Below are 18,166 nucleotides of genomic sequence, written 5' to 3'. Positions count from 1 at the left end.
TATTGAACATAAATTATATCTCATTAAAGTTTTTTTAAAAAAAGCAATGGTTATTTCCTAAACACTGATGATCTCCAAAAGTAGAGAAGGTGGTCATGAGAACTCCAGAGGTTATGTTAGAGGTTTACCACAGTTGAGCCTCACCCTGGAAAAATGTGATGGTTTCATTCCCAGTTTGAGAACTGGACTGTAGATACACAGTCATTGCCTGGTCTTTGTACTCTGTAAAAATGTTAAGCAAATGGTAGTAAAGAAAGTGGTTTCATTAGATAATTCAGTTTCATATTTTACCTTTACTTTACAAAGTTCAAAGTTAAGTTGGAACGTTTTTTAAGAAAAGAAAAAAAGCTATGAAGTTTTTTATGTAATTTCCAGTTGTTTCTCCCAAATAGATTAATGCAGCATAGGGTGTTGCCTTACCTTGTGTATATGTGTGTACATGTGAGAGAATTTGCAATGCTTCACTGAGGAAGAGTAGTTAGACTCTGTTGGATAAGGGTGCCCTTCCTATCATTAGACAATTGTAAATTTCTCAAGAGGATCCTTCCTACCACCGATACCCTCTACCCTAGGCTCCTCACCCTCAACTGTTCGCATTTCCCCAAACATACCAAAGGTTGTGATTCAGAAGTTCTGGAATCTGAATTTTTAACCAGTTTCTTCGTTCTGAGGTAGGAAGTCCATGGACTATATGTTGAGAAACAATGCCTTTGGGACAATTAAATGAGCATCCCCTGCCTCTGTTCTGGGGATTTAAGAATTTCACCAAGAGCTGTGCCGTGTTTCTATTAATCCATCCAAAACACAATTATCCCGTTCAGTCTTCAGCCTCAAGTCTTTCTCCAGGGTGGGAGTTTTTTCTGCACTATTTGTTTCATTATTAACTCCCCTGTCTCTGTTCCTTCTTTTCCAGACATCCTTTTCTGCCACAAAAAGCTTCCTGGATCTGCGTTCAAATTTCTTTGTTTTGTCCTATGATTTCTATCTTTGTATTTTTTCCTGTGCAGCAATGTATTTCTTCTAGGCTTCTGAGTTGGTTCTTGATTGTGGCTGTTCACTTTTCCAAATTGTCTATTTGATACTTCAATTAAATTGTTTAGTTTTTAAATAAAAATTAATCTTTTTTTTTTTTGGTCCCACGAAGTCTTTTTCATGCCCTAATTAGATCTCTTTGAGGATTCTTGTTCCTGTTATCTGACTTCTTTATCAAGTCTCTTTCTATTGGAACAGCCTGTTACAGCTGCTTACTTTTGCCTTACTCCTCTAAGTATGTACTCTCATCATCCTTTGCCCACTCAAGGCATCGCTCTCCTCAGAAATTGGGCCACGCTGTTAGGATCTCTCAAGCAGTGTGAACCCCACTACCCCTCTACCTCCCAGAAATTCTCTGTTTAGAACTCTGATGTGGATTAAGGATGCAATTAGAACAGGGTGTTAAAGTGTGGAGCAACGAGGGAAAGAAGCAGAAGTTTAACTCTCTTGATTCACTGCGGAGTGTCATCTTTTGGGTATCAGACTCTTTGGAATATATACAAAGATATTTACATATATTATGTATATTTATATATTATCATATTTTAAAATGTATATCTATATATCTGTATATCTATGTATCTATCTATATATATATCTCCCTTCTTTTTCTTTATTCTATGCTGGGCCCGGAACTCCCTCTACTTGGGAGGAACCCTCTGCCCTAAAAATCCTCGTGGAGCTGTTCAAGGGAAGGAAACATGCAGGACCAATGACACTTAAGTCTTCATTTGATCTATGCAGAAGGGTCTCCTTGCTCACTCATTTTGGCCAAAAATAGCATGTGGATTGTTTGCATGTCATCTTGCATGTACTCTTCAGGAACTTGTGGCTGCAGCTGGATAGGATTCAAAGACACAGACTTGTTTTCCCTTGGTATTCCACTAAGCAGCTCCAGCGCATCCAAGGATGAATTCCTTATCCTTTGCAAAATAACGCCTCCTCTCCAAATTTCTTTTGGTCTCTTACAAATCGAGCAATCCCCAGTAGCTCTTTGGGAAGTGGAGCTCTTCAGGCCAGCTCCTGGTTCTGTAGCTCAGATTCTCATGGCAGAGGACAGTAATAGAATGAATAGGCAGGGGAAAAAAATATCAGGGCTGTGAATGAGCTCCCTTTGAGAGGGTAGAGTGAGTCTGATTTAAATTCAGGTAAGAGTCAGGTTTTATGCAATCTCATTACACGGCTGAACACAGGCTTGGAGAAGCGCTTAATGAAGGGCTGCAGTTGCTAATTGTTGACCTGATTTCTGCATGAACTACAGTTCTGCTTCCAAAATCTGACCCATCTGATCTGTGCATAAACCTGGAGGTTGAATCAGCAAGTACACAAGGAAAACAGCAGGGTCCTCTTTTGAGATATCTTAAGGTTTCAGGTCATAGTTAGATTTTTGCTTTTTTAATTAAAAGGAGATGCATGCTTGCTCTCTGATCCATCACCAGCTTACAGGACTCCTATGCCAGAGCCTTTGTGATTGTTAACATCCCAAGGAGATGTCCCTTCTGCTACCACTCTTTCTTGGCTCAGTAGCAGCTTGGTTTACCTGAATCTCTGAGCCACTGGGAGCCAGCAGGTGGTAGATAGCTGAGTAATGACTCTGCTGACTCCAGGAAGCCAGCTGGAGCTACAGGCTCATCAATGAGAGGAAGAGAGAAGATAGTCTAATGTTAATCAAACTAAGTCTTTCTCTTGTTTACAGAGAACTTTTCTTTTCTTTTCTTTTTTAATAAAAAAGAGATGGGGTCTTATTATGTTGCCCAGTCTAGTCTTGAACTCCTAAGCTGAATCAATCCTCCTGCCTCAGCCTCCCAAAGTGCTGAGATTGCAGGTGTGAGCCACTATACCTGGCCACTTTTTAAAGATCCTTATACACAAAGATTTCTTGTGAACCTCACTCACACTAGCCCTGTGAGGTAAGTCAACTCATTTAATAGATGAGAAAACTGGAGCTTAGGAACTTCCCTAAACTCATGTAGCTTTTCAGAAACAGAACTGGGAGTAGAATCCAAGTCTTTTAGTTCCTAGTTTCTACCTCTTGGAGATCTGACGAGTTGCCCAGGTCTGTTGGTAGATAACTTCCTAATTTTTCCCTGTCTCCTTTGACTATGGGGAGTTATTAATCAGCAGCAGAAATATGTGGCGCTGTAAGATTTCCTTCCCTAAAGGCACTGGGAATAGAATCCCTTTTGTGATCACAAAGGTACAATGTCCTGAAACCAGTGTGAACCAAGCCCACGGACATTTCCTGCTTTGGGCCTACAAGGCCTTGTTTTCCTAGGAGCTGTCTGAGGGCAACCTCATGTTTGACATTTGTGGGTTCTCAAAGTCCAGGCTGGGCTTATGTAGAAAGCACACAACCCTCTGAAAACCCCCAGAGTATGTTGCTCTGGAGACCACCCCTTTTCTAGACATGCGTGTCCTGGCTCAATTTCTGCAGTTTACCATCTCCAGGTAGACACTGGCTAATTTTTAGAATGTTGTCCTTGACTCAACTCTAGTGATGATTTTTGTACAGATGGAAAAGTGGATTCCAACTCAGATTTCTGTCTTGATCTCTTCTAAGTCAGATGGTGAATTCCACCAAATGTCACCAGTGCCTCTGAATCCCTTTGGTCCCTTCAGTGGAAGTGTCATACCAAGGAAAATGCTTTCGCTTCTTCAGCTGCCAACATCAACCAAGTGTTCCTGTCAGGAAATCCTGATGTGTATGTCTGGCTGAAAGGTGAAAGAGCTTAGTGTGAATGCCCAGAGGGACAAGAGCATGTTTGAATCAACTTTGAATCTGCCTACCTAGAGGCTGCCCTCCTTGCCTAAGCTGCCCACAGGTGTCCAGTGGGTTAAGAGAGCTTCATCTGAGGGAGAAGGGGGAAGGGGCTCATACCCAGAAGACAAACCATCTCAGGAGCCATGTGGAACTTGGTGATGGCCCTTAACTGAGCCCAGCTCATTTTCCTATTCTCAAAGTAGAAAGAAATTTCACAGATCACATTTAGAGGTTTGGGTGAAGGGGTGGGGCTGGGGGCAGACTTTAGCCTACAACTATGGATGATTTAAGGTAGTGCTTGGAGCTTTTTAGTCATGTGTGCAGAACACTGCAGTCCCATAAACAGTAAAAACTTGGTCTGTAAGCCATGTTTTTCGGAAGTTGGGTTTTATTGAGTGTAGCATGCTTAGAGTTATTCAGATGTAACTTTGCAATGGCTTTCTTCCATTTTCTCTATACCCAGCCTAAGCCTTATAAGGGACTGCGGTGATGAGTGGCAACTCATGACCTTAAGGCACAGGATGTATGCGTGGACAGAAGTCAAAATTCTAGACTTATTTCCATGACTACCTTGGGCACGTCATTTGAATTTCTTGGGCCTCCATTTTCCATCCTGTAAAATGGAAACATCCTCTGAGCTCTAATGTCTCTGCTGTTCCCCCAAACAATGGAATGTGCTACCATCTTACTTTGAGATATGACCTGTAGATTTATATTTCAACAGTTTCTGCAGTGGATTGCATTAAAATTGTGAATCTCATAGGGACAAAAGAAGCTCTGCAAAAAAACAAACAAAACAAAACAAAAAATTCCTTTCCTGTATTTGATCAAATGCCATTGCTAAAACAGCACTAAAAAGGAAAAAAAAAGTTCAGGAAAATTCGCTGAACTTTTCCCTTTTGCCCTGTGCTTGTTTTCATGTCTTAGTGTGTTTCAATGTACAACCAAGTTGTTAATGTTTTCTGTTTAATAAACAGAACATCTATAACTTCCTCTCCTGATGTTCTCGATCAGTTTGGCTATTAGCTAACAGGGAACTAGTTTGAGCCACAGGACTCAAGGTCACTTTCACTGTTCTTTCATTTGCATTCTCCATATAATTCACTGTGTTAATGCTCTCTCTGAAAACACCCTGCTTTAAATATATCATTGCTTTCTTCCTTGAGCCCAGGACAAACAACACAGCCCACACCTACAGAGTCCTGCACTGGATTAGCACAATGATTCATATTTAGTGAGCTGTGTTTCTGGGGCTCAAAGACTAACATTCATTTATATCTTCAAAAATAATCCTCAGAGCACTGATAAGTTAGTCACCAGGAACAGCTGGCTGCTAAATGGCCTACTTTGGCATCTCGACCTGAGAACCGCGGGAATCTTAGTGTAACGAGGGCTACTGTTCTGGGATTTGTTAGGCCTTGGGTTGCACAGGGAATATGATGGTTCTGACTTTCACCTTGAGAGGCAGGACAGAGCTGGTAGGTGGCCTAGCCTACCAGAGGAGCTTTTACTGCTCTCACATAGGACATTTGTGCATGGTTGTTATTGTTAGTAACTAGATCTGACAAACACCTGAAGAGCAACACACGAGCTCATGCCTTCTGTATCAGTTTCTCCTCCCCTTTCTATAGTTCATACTTTCTCTTCCCAAACTCCCTGTACTGGTATCCCCATTCTCCCTTTGAAGTATGTGTCACTTTTCTACTCACTATGTCATTAAATCATTTATGTTTTTCTTTTATATTAACCTGTTTTAACTTTAACCTATTGGTTAAAATTTTCAAGGAATTCATAATAACAGTTGAATCACTTTTCTAAAAGTCTTCCTTCATGTGATTTTCCAGTCTCCAGTTTTTGGTTTCCATATTGGAAGACCAGGAGCAATTTATAACCATCAATACTCTCACTTCTTTGTGTTCTATTTAAGCAGGGACATTATTGGCTATTTTTCCTTAAACTAAAAAAATATGGTAAAGAATGTAAAGGATCTACAAGGAAGTAATATGTTAGTGACTTCAATGGATACATTGCATGGAATATGTAAATGAACATGAAATAGTTAAGCTGCTAACAAATATAAACAAAACAAAACTTACAGCTCACCAGTTGCTGTAGATGGAGGGATTTGGGTGAAAAGGGAATATTGATATGGTAATGCAAGAAGTAAAAAGAGGCTAAAGGTCTTGGGCTAAGCAAGAGGGAAACGTTAACCTGTCCTAGAATCTGGATTAACTCTTCCTAGCCTTGATTTTCCCCCTCCATTGCCAAAGAGCTTCAGCTAGTGAGAGTCTTTGGAGACTTTGGTCCTTGATATGCAACCTAAAGATTGAAAGATTATATTCTCTCTTTAATTACACCTTTCTCTAACCTTGAATTGAGTGCTTGCAAGGTGAGTAGGCAAGACCCAACCTGCTGTGTGGAGTTAATTCCCAGGATGGCTAGGAGAGGCTGTGTCCTGCTAAGGGGAGGCCTCTATGATCATGATTTGCAGAGAGGATTGCTGAAGAAAAAGGGCTATATGTTCATATGGGTTAGCCGAGACAGGTAGTGAAATACATACAGCACATTTTTCCTGAGATACTGATGTTGTTGATGTCAATAGCCCTAAGAACAATTATAATGTGTCAAGATAGTGGGAACATTTGCATTTAAAAGAACAATCTGTTGTCAGGACCTATTTACTATGGTACTAAAAATTAGGCAGTTGCAGGCACAAAATTATCCTATGATTAAAGCCCTATGTAATGGGTGCGTTTTAAGCATTTGTGGGAGTTATTTTCCTTTAGGGAGGATGTACTCAAGTTTCCAAGGCTTCTTCATGTTTTCCCCTATTGTCTTTTCTTTGCTCCTAATACTATAATTTGCTAAGTAATTCTATGACATTAAGGACCTTAAATATGTATTGTGCAACTAATTTGTTTTGAGAAAGTGGAAGTTTCAAAGGGTTAAGTCACTCCCTTAAGGTCACACAGCTAACTAGTGACAAAGAAATGCTTCTGTTACTCTTATGCTAAGCAGGGTGTTTTGTGCACTGGACAAGCAATCCTTATTGACTTGGCATTGCTTTTCTCACGCTCTTGTTGCAGTCCATATGCTGCAAAGTGAAGATCAGGAAGAAATATTCTCGTACACAAAATATTTCTTCTCTTTGGGAAAAGAGGGGGTGAGCCTGGAGTAGATGAAGTGGACACTCCCATAAGTGAGGTGATTTAAGGGGCGTCAAAAATCACCATTTATTTTAGTTTCCTAGAACTGCCATAACAAACTGTCACAAACTTGGGAGTTTTAAAACAACAGAAATTTATTCTGTCACAATTCAGGGCACTGGAAGTCTGACATCAAGGTGTCTTAAGGCTCGAAGTGTAACTGCCTGAGGAGTTCTTCCTGCCTGCTGCACAAACAAAGACCATAGCATTGCAGTAAAGAAAGAGTTTAATTGATGTGAGGCTGGCCACTCCACACTGGAGATGGAGTTATTACTCAAATCAATCTCATTGAAGGCTGGTAGGTTAGGGGTTTTTCAAAGGTAGTTTGGGGGAAGGGGTGGGGATGGCTAGGCATTGGGTGCTTGCTGGTGATTGCTTGGGGGTGCAATCGTAGGGGTGTGGGCAATAATCCTGAGTGCTGAATCACTTCTGGGTGAGGCCAACAGGAGTGGTTGGTGGGTCCAGGTGGAGCCGTCGGTGTCAGACATGCAAAAAACCAGAAAAGATATCTCAAAGGTCAGTCTTAGGTTCTATAATAGTGATGTTATCTGCTGGAGTAATTGGTGAAGTTGCATACCTTGTGACCTCCAGAATAATGGCTGGCAGTTGTTTATGTCTATTCCTTAGCAGAATTCAGGCTTCTCTATCCTCCTAGCCTGGTGATCTCTCATTACCTTTACAAAGATAATTGACTTTCAGGGAAGAAGTATTATCATTTAAACTATAAACTAAATGTCTGGCAGCTTGAAGGCTAAAGGCGAGAGAGGGGGTTGGCAAGATCAGATCTCCCCCCTCCCCCGACCAGAATTTTCTGACTGTTATATTGTTTCACAGGTTTCATAAGGAAGTGAAGAAAATAAAAATATTTCACCCCAAAATATTTGACATATTTTGAGAGGGCTGTACAGAAGTCCTGCATAAGGAAGTGACCCTGCAAAGCTGTCTTTTTTCAGGAAGATTTGCATCTGTAGAGAATGCGTGTGATGCAGCCAGGTTTTCTTCAAAGCCTTCCCTTTTCTGGATCTAGGAAAGATTAACTTGGATCTGATAATTTTAAAAATCTGAAAGAAACATTTACCCTCTCTGATCTCTGAGGGTTGCTACCTGTGAGGTTTTATCTATGTAACAAGACCACCTTTGCTAGACAGGCCTCCTCTTCTTCCTCTCCCATTTCCTGTTTTGCCATGATCCAAGCCCCCATTCTTTCTGTAACTTCAAGACAGTATAAAAGCTTCTGAAATCTATTGAGTTGTTGGGACAATCACTCAGTGGTTCTCCCCTGTGTACACATTAATAAATTTGTATGCTATGTTCCCAATTAATCTCCTTTAGTGAGTTGGTTTTTCAGTAGATCTGCAGAGGGTGAAGGGGAAGCTTAGGGAAAGCCCCTTCAGAGGAATCCTTCCTTGCCTCTTCCTACCTTCTGGTGGCTGTTGATGACCCTGGCAAGTCCCTCAATTTGTAGCTGCCTGACTCCAGTCTCTGCTTCTGCTGTCATATGGCCTTCTCTGTGTCACTGGGTATACTTTTTCTGTCTCTCAGAAAACCCTTACTGGATTTAGGGCCCACCCTAATCCAGTAGGATCTCATCTCAATTCTTACCTTGATTATATCTGCAAAGACCCTATTTTCCGAATGAGGTCACATTCTGAGGTTCTGGGTGGACAGGAGTTCGGCAGGGACACCAACCCAGCACACCATTTGTTCTGATACACTTCACCTTTGCAAATGCTACACTGACTAGTGTTCTGTTTAGAGCTTGACTGTGAATCCTGGAGGAGCAGCTTACCACATCGCCATCACTTCCATGAAAGGGAAGGAGACCAGGTATAGCAAAGAAGATGGGAGGAGGGAGGTATTGCTATAAAATACAGTGGAAAGTGTTCATGTGTGGATAGGAAGGCCACCCAAAGCCCAGTGAGGCTCTGAAGAAAACTTTAACTTTTGGCCAAAGCTAGGCTTGAACATCAAACTCTGGTTAACAATTATTGAACTCACTTATAGCTGGAAGAGTTATCAGAACCCATTTCAGAAGCACAAGAATTGACTGGATTCTAGAATGACTGAATTAAGTGGCAGGTTCTATAGCCATTATTAAGCTAAACTCACAAAGATATAGACGGTAAAGTCCTTCTGAAAAAAGTCTTAGAGTTTATTTTTGAGGGAGAAAATTCATGCGTACAGTGAAAAACTGGAGGCTAAGTCTAAAGCATTATATAAAAATGAAAGAATATATTTTTTTCTCTTTAGAAAACTTTTTGGGCTGGGTATAGCTCATGCCTCTAATCCCAACACTTTGGGAGGTTGACGCAGGTGGATCCCTTAAGGCCAGAAGTTCAAGACTTGCCTGGGCAACATGGTGAAACCCTGTCTCTACTGAAGATACAAAAATTAGCCAGGTGTTGTGGCACACACCTGTAGTCCCAGCTACACAAGAGGCTGAGGTGGGAGGATCGAGGTTGTGGTGAGCCAAGATCATGCCACTGTACTCCAGCCTGGCTGAGAGAGAGATCCCATTTCGTAGAAGAAAAAAAAAAAAAAAAAAAAACACCAACTTTGTGCTCTCTAGTGCAAACCTGGAATTCTGTAGTTAAAATTCCATAGAAAGGCTAGAAGGTAACATAAAGCACCCAATAGAATTTAAAACAATAATATGCTTGCAGTATGTTTTTCTGTGCCAGCCACTGTGTTCAGTGATCTATTTCATTGAATCCTTTCAAAATCTCCATGAGGCTCACACCGTTATTGTCTCAATTTTATAGGTGAGGAAACTGAGGTTCAGACAGCCTAAGCAATCTGGCCAGACTTTGTTTTTACCTGTGTTTGTTTGTTTGTTTTAAATGGAGTCTTGCTCTGTCACCTAGGCTGGAGTGCAGTAGAGTGATCTCTGCTCACTGCAACCTCTGCCTCCTTGGTTCCAGCAATTCTTCTGCCTCAGCCTCCCAAGTAGCTGTGATTACAGGTGTGCACCACCACACCTGGCTAATTTTTGTATTTTTAGTAGAGACAGGGTTTCGCCATGTTGGCCAGGCTAGTCTCGAACTCCTGACCTCAAGTGATACACCTGCCTCGGCCTCCCAGAGTGCTGGGATTACAGGTGTGAGCCATCGCACCTCTCCTGTTTTTACCTCTTAAGCTCTGCTGACTGAAGAACTCTGTAACTGTGTGTCTTCCTGTAACTTGCAGTTCCTGTGATTAGAGCTGTAGAGGAGGAACTGTAATCACTGAACGTTGAAAATATCAGTAATAGGGATTCCAGATTTAATGGGACTGATGACTTGGCATGGGGATAAAGAGATAACAACTAATCTTTGGAGGCAGACTCTTCAAATTCAAATCTCCAATCAACTATGCATCAGTTTTTTCTTGCTACTGTAACAAATTACCACAAATTTAATAGTTTGAAATAACACAGATTATTTTATAGTCCTGGAGTTCTTAAATTTAGATGTCAGCAAGGATGTGCTCCTTCTGGAGGCTCTAGGAGACAATCTGTGCCTTGCATGCTCCGGCTACTTGCACTCCCTGGGTTATGGCCCCTTCCTCACATTACTGCATCCTCTGCTGTCATCATCGCCCTCGCTCTCCTGCCTCCCTCTTATAAGAACCCTTGTGATTACATTGGGTCCACCTGAATAATCCAGGATTCACCCTTTCAAGATCCTTAATCACAATTGCAAAGTCCTTTTTCCATGTAAGGTAATATATTCATTGGTTCTAGGAATTAGGACATGGATGTCTGTGGAGGGCCATTATTCTGTTTACCACATTATATGACCAGGGGTAAATTATTTAACCCCTTTAAAACTCATTTTCCTGCTCTGAGCAAAATGAGAAAATAATAGTATCTAATTTGTTGAGCCATTGTGAGGATGAAATGAGATTATGTTGCCTGGAAGACTAAGTTAATGTAGGTGTTATTATTATCATTATTATTTAAGGCATGAGCCAGAAGCTATTGTCATGAACTAAGATGACAGAGTGTCCTTGGAATCCATAGGGTGATGAGTGTGGTGTCTGTGGTCTTCACCCAGGACTGAAGTGAGTGACAGGTGTCCTCATTTTGCAAATAGGCAAAGCAGCGTTGAGTGAGGTCCCACCACCGCCTGCATTTGGTGAATTACAACTTGGGAAAACAAAAGTCTCTACAATTCTGTGAAGACCACTTTCTTCTGTGCCTAAATTATTTTAAATATTTTATCAAAAGTTGAGTGAGGCATCCAGGCTGAGAGGCTCCTTTGTGGAGGCTTCCCCAAAGTTTAGGGACAATTGAATGCAGGCCAAATCAGAGGACACTGTGAGACCTGAAAGCCCCCAAGTAAAGTCCCAAATTGCAATTTTGCCTTCCAGGAATATCGCTGAGTCTGACTTCTGCGGCTGAAACAGAAACAGGATTTTGGGCACGTGTGCTCCATTGAGCTAAACAGCCTGCAATAGAACAGAACCCTCTGGCTAATTTATTTAGGTACAGAAACAGAGTCATAACTAAGAGGATTTTCCTGCCCCCAAATCCCCTCCCATCACAGCTGTCATCCCTGTGCAGTTCCTTTACCTGTAAGTGGTGTGAGTAGTGTGATTTATGCAGGAGAAATTTCAATTCCAAATTCTCACCTGTTTCTCCACCTCCCAACCATGGGCTCTTTTGAGTAAAGGGTTTCTAGTCTCTGGGAGAGCTTTGCTAAAATAAAAATACTCTTGACAGAGCATTTGGTTCTATGGGGAACCTTTAGGGATTATTTTTTTTTCAATATTGTTATTTTACAGATGAGGAAATTAAGGAAATGTGAGGAGTTAGGGCCAACAAAAAAGTTACAGGAGAAGGTTTCATTTTTGGCTGCCTATTCACTTCTATTCACTGCCTGTTTACTTCTGACACCAACTGCAAGTTCAGGAGGTTTCCATCACCCTCTGGTTTGAATACTTTGCTAGAAGAACTCACAGAACTCACTGAAACCATAACCTGAATGCCCATGGTCATGGTTTATTACAGGGAAAGGATATGGTTAAGATTAGTCAAAGGAAGAGACGTATAGGATAAAACCCAAGAAGGTACCAAATGCAGAGTTTCTGTTGTCCTTTCCCTATAGTACTGGGATAATATTACCCTCCCAGTACATGTGTAACAACCAGGAAGCTCACTGGAGCTTTTGTGTTCAGAGTTTTTATTGGGGCCCTATTATGTGAGCATGATTGATTGAGTGACTGATTACCCACATTGTGAATCTATCTCAGTCTTCAGTCCCCAGACCCTCTGGGCATGACCCAAATCTCCCACCCTAAATCACATGATTATCTTTCTGGCATGGTCAATACCCACCCTAAGCAAAAACACTCCTATAAAGGTTATCTCCTAGAAGCCAGGGGCAAAGTCCAGGCAGCTTTTGGAGCAAGGTTAAGTTCCATACTACATAGTCCTGAAAAGTTGAATCACTCAACCAAGGTCACACGGCTCAGCCAAAGTATTTGCAATTATTAAAACTCAGGAAGTCGGCATATTCTTACATGACCAATACAGAATATGAGACAATATAGCATAGTGACTAAAAGTTGGGAACCAGACTATGGGGTCAGGTGACAGCTCTGCTATTTACTACTGGGTGACCTTGGGTAAGTTCTCACCCAATTTGTGTCTCAATTCATAAAATGGGGATGATAATAAATCCTAACTCATAGAGTCAACGCATGTAAAATACTTTTTTTAATGTGAAAATTTTCAAAATAGAGGTGGGGTCTTGCTATGTTGCCCTGGCTGGTCTTGAACTCCTCGCCTCAAGTGATCCTCCCACCTCAGCCTCCCAAAGTGTTGGGATTACAGGCATGAGCCATGGCTCATTTCCAGTTTTCCAATTCTGAAGCAGCAAAATATTGTTTTTAGCTGTTATGTCTAGAATCCAAAAGAGTTATGTTAAAAAAAAAAAAAGTCAATTATATTAAATTAAGGGAAAATTTAATCAAATTCGCATTATGTGCCAGGCACTGGGCTGGTCAATGTAAGGGATATAAGGTTAAAGAAGACCTGGACAATGTAAAGTACTTAAAACACTATCTAGCACATAGTAAGTACTCAATGATTTTAGTTTTTAATATTATTAAGCAGAAGTAAAGTTAATAGATCAGAAAACACAAGTTATCCATAATCCTCTCCCTTTTCCTATTTAACTGATAGATAATTGCCTGTTTCCAAACCTTTTCTGTTTATAAACAATGGTGAATTATATTACACATAGTCTTCAGTTTCATTTTTACTTAAGAGTTTCATCAACTATTTATTACTTTTAAATGAATAAGAATGTTTGAAATCATTTAAACATTTAAATAAATGCATGAAATATAAGCAATGGGCTGTGTGTGGTGGCCACGTCTATAATCCCAGCACTTTGGGAGGCCGAGGCGGGCGGATCACTTGAAGTCAGGAGTTTGAGACCAGCCTGGCCAACATAGTGAAACCCTGTCTCTACTAAAAATACAAAAATTAGCCAGGCATGGTGATGGGCATCTGTAATCCCAGCTACTCGGGAGGCTGAGGCAAGAGAATCACTTGAACCCAGGAGGTGGAGGTTGCACTGAGCCAAGATTATGCCACTGCACTCCAGCCTGGGCAACAGAGCAAAAACTCTGTCTCAAAAAAAAAAAAAAAAAATTCTAAGCAACAAAATAACCACTTCTTTTTTCTTGTTTATACCAGCATTAAATATGTGAGCAGTTGAATGCCACCTGTGTTAGGGAGGCTGAAAAAGTCCTTTTGATTTGTTTCAAGTCACAATAAAAAATGTTGTTTGTCCCCGCACAGTCCTGTTCCAACTCTCGGATTGTTTCATCACATAGGAGAGTAGTATTGTCAGGAAACACTGCTTTCCTAATGTCAAAGAAGAAAAATAACCTGGTGGAAATTTCTGCTCACCTCAGTGGCAGATTTCCAGTTTTCCAATTCTGAAGCAGCAAAATATTGTTTTTAGCTGTTATGTCTAGAACCCAAAAGAGTTATGTAAAAAAAAAAGTCAATTATATTCAATTAAGGGAAAATTGAATGAAATTCCCATTATGTGCCAGGCACTAGGCTGGTCAATGTGAGTGATATAAGGTTAAAGAAGACCTCATTTTGGGTCCCGTGGGTCCCCTAGCCTAGCAGGACACACAGATGCAGAGAACATGGTAAAGGGCATGCTAAATAGACGTTCGGCCCAGAGGATATGGGGCTACATCAGAAGAAGCATTTACTTCTGACTGGGCTAAGTAAAAGCAGGAACACTTAAGCTATGCTTTTAGTGGTTTCTGGGAGCACAATGGGGGCATCTACTCTGTAAGATCAGACCATGTGGATGGCAAAGACTGGCTATAGCCAGAAAGAATTGCTGAACGAAGGCTGACAAGACATATGTTCACCATTCATGGAAGGTGGCCCGGTCATCCAGAGTTTCCCATCTCATTCAAATAGGAGAAATTAGCATATGCCTTTTTGGGGGAAGCAGGTAGAAGTGTCCTGAAACATTATACTCTAACAAAAATGACATTCTTCTCCCTCTATTTTGGGTTGAGACTTAATTGATTAAACTAATAGTAGCTGGAATTTATAGAAGTCCTTCTTATAACACTTTTCAAGAGATGTTTAGGGTCATCAGTATGCCCAGCAAAACCTTTTGAGAGCCATTAAATCCAATGAGGACAGGGAGACCCAGGGTCGTGGCATGAGCTGATAATGCCACACTGGGAGCAACATGAAGGTCTTGCCTAATTTCTCTCTTAGCACTTTTCATATTCTCTGTACTTTATCTCATAACCACTCAGCTTTCTGGACATCATTTTTTTTTTTTCTTTTTAATGGGCAAGAGTCTTCAAATTGCAAGGCACACTGGCACCATTTACATTTTAAGAGGCTTAAATTTTTAATTTTCTTTTTCATTTCACTGGAACATTTTAGAAAGTTGCACTGCTTTTTATTATGCCACATTCTGAACATACCCTACTGCTTTGATCCTAACCCCTTCAGAACCTGGGCAGGGCTGGACTCTCAAGGAATCAGTAAACAAGTTGAGAAGTCCGGCAGGCTGAGGACACTCCATCAGGCAGGGGTGGGCCAAAGCCCTCTACCTTATGAGACTCCATTATGTGAAGAAGACAGAAGATGATGGCTTTGGATTGTTGGATTCCAGCAGCCCAAGTGCACACAGCTTACCTAACTTGCCCTCTGCTGCTTAAACTGTTTCTAAGTCTGTCCCCCAAAGCCTTGTCAAATGGCAGTGTTCTCCCCCGGCCTCAGAATGCTGGATTGCATTAGGCTGTATGTCATTGCATTCCATGACTGACACCGATAGTATCTATCTGTTGAATTTCCATCCGAGTGCCATCCTTATTAGATTTCAGGAGGAACAGTTAGTGGCTCCATTAAAATTTCCTGACTTATTTTGGTTTCACCCTTAAGCAACTGCCTAAATGGCTTGTTTCCCTTGAAACTAAACATTTTCCTATGGTGAGAGCAGAGAAAATTAATAGCTTCTGGAATATAGAACAGTTGGGTAGGGATTTTGGAAACAATTCTCCCTTTTCTAAGGTTCTTATTGGAAGGGAGTCTTTGTTATCACCTTAGGGGGCCAAAGTCCTGTATCCTTAACACTGCCTGTATTTATCTCTGCTTACTCCCAAGCCTATCAGTTAAAGGGGTGAAAAGCAAATCAGCAACAAAGCCAACTGTTAAAAGAATGAGATCTAGGGTGGTAGGTTAGCACTCACAAGTACAGGCAAAAATAGCCTATTGTTCCTGGGAAAGCAGAGAAAACACACAAATTAACAGGATGCCACTGTTTCTCCGCAGCAAATTCTTGGTTCTTGTCATCAAATCATCTCACTTTTGAGTTCAGAAGCATAAGGAGTGTTTCTACTTGTGGCTTTGTAAGAAGAAGAAATTTCTACTTGTGAATTGTGATGACATACCTTCATTTAAGTCTTTGTGAGGGGTGTACCATACAGTTAAAGAAAGTGTAGAATTTCTGTTTTAAATAAAAATACCTGCTTTTCAATTTTCCTGCATCTGTTGACAACTGGTTAAATATTGTTTTCCTCTCCCAGGAAAATCATTATCCTGGTGGCTACACTATGAATCGTACATCTCTGCCTCTTCCTTCTTCCCTCTCAAGTAAACCATGCACATTCATTTATTTAATTGTTCAACATGTATTTATTGACTGCCTTCATGGCATATTGTACTCTGCTAGGTGCTGGGTATATGGTGATAAGCATAATAGATGGTTTCTACCTGCCTAGAACTTACAGGTCTTGAAGGAGAGACAGATATTTTAAAATATTTACATAGACATACACACACGTATGTATAAACACACATGCATACATACATCTAAACATAACATACATGCCTACATATATGCATCATATAACACACAAATTAAAAATGGTAATAAATGAAGAAAGAGAAATAAGGCTGGGCAAGGTGGCTCACACCTGTAATCACAGCACTTTGGGAGGCTGAGGCGGGCAGATCACCTGAGGTCAGGAGTTCAAGACCAGCCTGGCCAACATGGTGAAACCCTTTCTCTATTAAAAATACAAAAGTTGGCTAGGTGTGGTGGTGGGTACCTATAATCCCAACTACTCAGGAGGCTGAGATGGGAGAATCGCTTGAACCTGGGAGGTGGAGTTGCAGTGACCTGAGATCGTGCCATTGCACTCCAGCTTGGGTGACAAGAGTGAGACTCTGTCTCAAAAAAAAAAAAAAAAAAAAAAGAAAAAGAAAAATGAAATGAAAGATCTAATTAAATGAGGGCAGTCAGCAGTGGCCTACCTAAATAAATAAATCACTTTTGAGATGGGTTGGGGCTAGAAGGCAGGAGAAAAGAATAGCAATGAGAGAGAACAAGCTGTATGAAGGCCCCCAAGGGAGTGGCGTGTTTGAGAAACTGAAAGGAGAGTGACTGACAGGAGTGAGCAGGAGCCCCATGGCCATCAAGGGTTTGGGAGTCAAAGCAGTGAATGCAATGAGATGCATTTAGGTTTAAAAGGGTCATTCTAGCTGTTGAATGGGGAATTGATTTGAGGGAACTAAGAGAGGAGAGGTGTTTGCCATGAACATAGAGCAATGGGCCAGGAATGGTGGTCAAGCCTATAATCCTAACACTTTGGGAACCCAAGGTAGGTGGATCGCTTGAGTTCAGGGGTTCAAGACCAGCCTGGGCAACCTAGGAAGATCCTGTCTCTATAAAAAAATAGAAAAAAAATTAGTTGGGCATGGTGGTACTCACCTGTGGTCCCAACTACTTGGGAGATTGAGGTGGCAGGATCATCTGAGTCCGAGACGTTGAGGCTGTAATGAACTGTGATAGTGCCACCACACTCCAGCCTGGGCCACAGAGTGAGATGCTGTCTTTAAAAAAAAAAAAAAAAAGGAGTGACGGATTCAAGTACTCTTGGTGGAACAATTGAGAACTTGTTGATAAATTGGACATGAAAATCATGGAGACGGATGTATAAAAGTGACTCTTTCCCCTTTGATTTATGCCCTGACTGTTCAGTTAATTTCTCTTTAGGTGACCTTTCTCCCATGACTGCGCCACTTGTCTCACTCCCAGTAGGAAATAAGCTGAACTGGTTTTTCCATTCTTCTCCGGGGCCTTGACTGGGAGAGGCCAGTCAGCTCCACAGGCAGCTTCTCTGGTTGAATAAATACCTGCAGGGGTTTATTAACTCCAGATCTTATACAAACAAATAATTTGAAAATGACTGAAACCACTCTAGAATAATGCTTATTTACAGGTTTTATATCATATATGATAAATGATTAAAGATATAAGATGAGTTCTATTATAAATTTCAATTCTTTTTCAGTAAGGAATTGGCTTTACCCCTTAATTTGTGTCAACAAAGAAACGGTTTTGGCCTGGAGTTTGTTCCTCCTCCAGGTCTGAGGATATTTTTGTTTGGCTGGTTGGTTGCTCCATATTGGCTTGCTTCAGGACATCTGAATAAGAATATTTGTTTCTTGGTTTTAGGCCTCTTACGAGGGACTCCTTTCGTTTGCTTCTAACAAATATGTTCAGTGCACTTTGAATAATGGGTCTTTGTCAATTGACTTCCACAGGTGGCTTTGTTTCTTTTCAAAATGTTTTAAAAACTTTTTGTGTTATCAGTAAATAGTCATAATTAATAAAAGCATAAGAGC

The 18,166-nt window shown here is 41.0% G+C and overlaps 1 long non-coding RNA gene across 2 annotated transcripts, besides 1 other annotated feature; it reads right to left on the bottom strand.

Moving 5' to 3' along the window:
- Positions 1–7,076: 7,076 nt before the first annotated feature.
- LOC105372157 (uncharacterized) lies at positions 7,077–17,581 on the bottom strand. 2 transcript variants are annotated; one of them, XR_001753472.2, is made up of 3 exons: positions 17,540–17,581; positions 17,250–17,367; positions 7,077–7,428 (listed from the first exon to the last, which is right to left on the bottom strand). It is a non-coding gene; the product is annotated as an uncharacterized LOC105372157 (long non-coding RNA). The 2 variants fall into 2 exon arrangements; XR_935559.3 differs by lacking the exon at positions 17,540–17,581 and adding an exon at positions 7,577–7,673 and having other exon boundaries at positions 17,250–17,331.
- Positions 7,201–8,400: an enhancer, noted in NCBI's record as "BRD4-independent group 4 enhancer chr18:59328486-59329685 (GRCh37/hg19 assembly coordinates)". NCBI's record gives its function as "activates an origin of replication core promoter dependent on BRD2, P300/CBP, MED14 and CDK7 cofactors, and independent of BRD4, by STARR-seq in HCT116 cells {active_cell/tissue: HCT116}" and the evidence as "EXISTENCE:reporter gene assay evidence [ECO:0000049][PMID:35650434]".
- Positions 17,582–18,166: the final 585 nt, after the last annotated feature.

Source organism: Homo sapiens, chromosome 18 (genome assembly GCF_000001405.40).
Source record: "Homo sapiens chromosome 18, GRCh38.p14 Primary Assembly".
NCBI lineage: Eukaryota > Metazoa > Chordata > Mammalia > Primates > Hominidae > Homo > Homo sapiens.
Note: the sequence above shows the minus strand (reverse complement) of the source record. Positions and strands in the feature narration are given on the sequence as shown.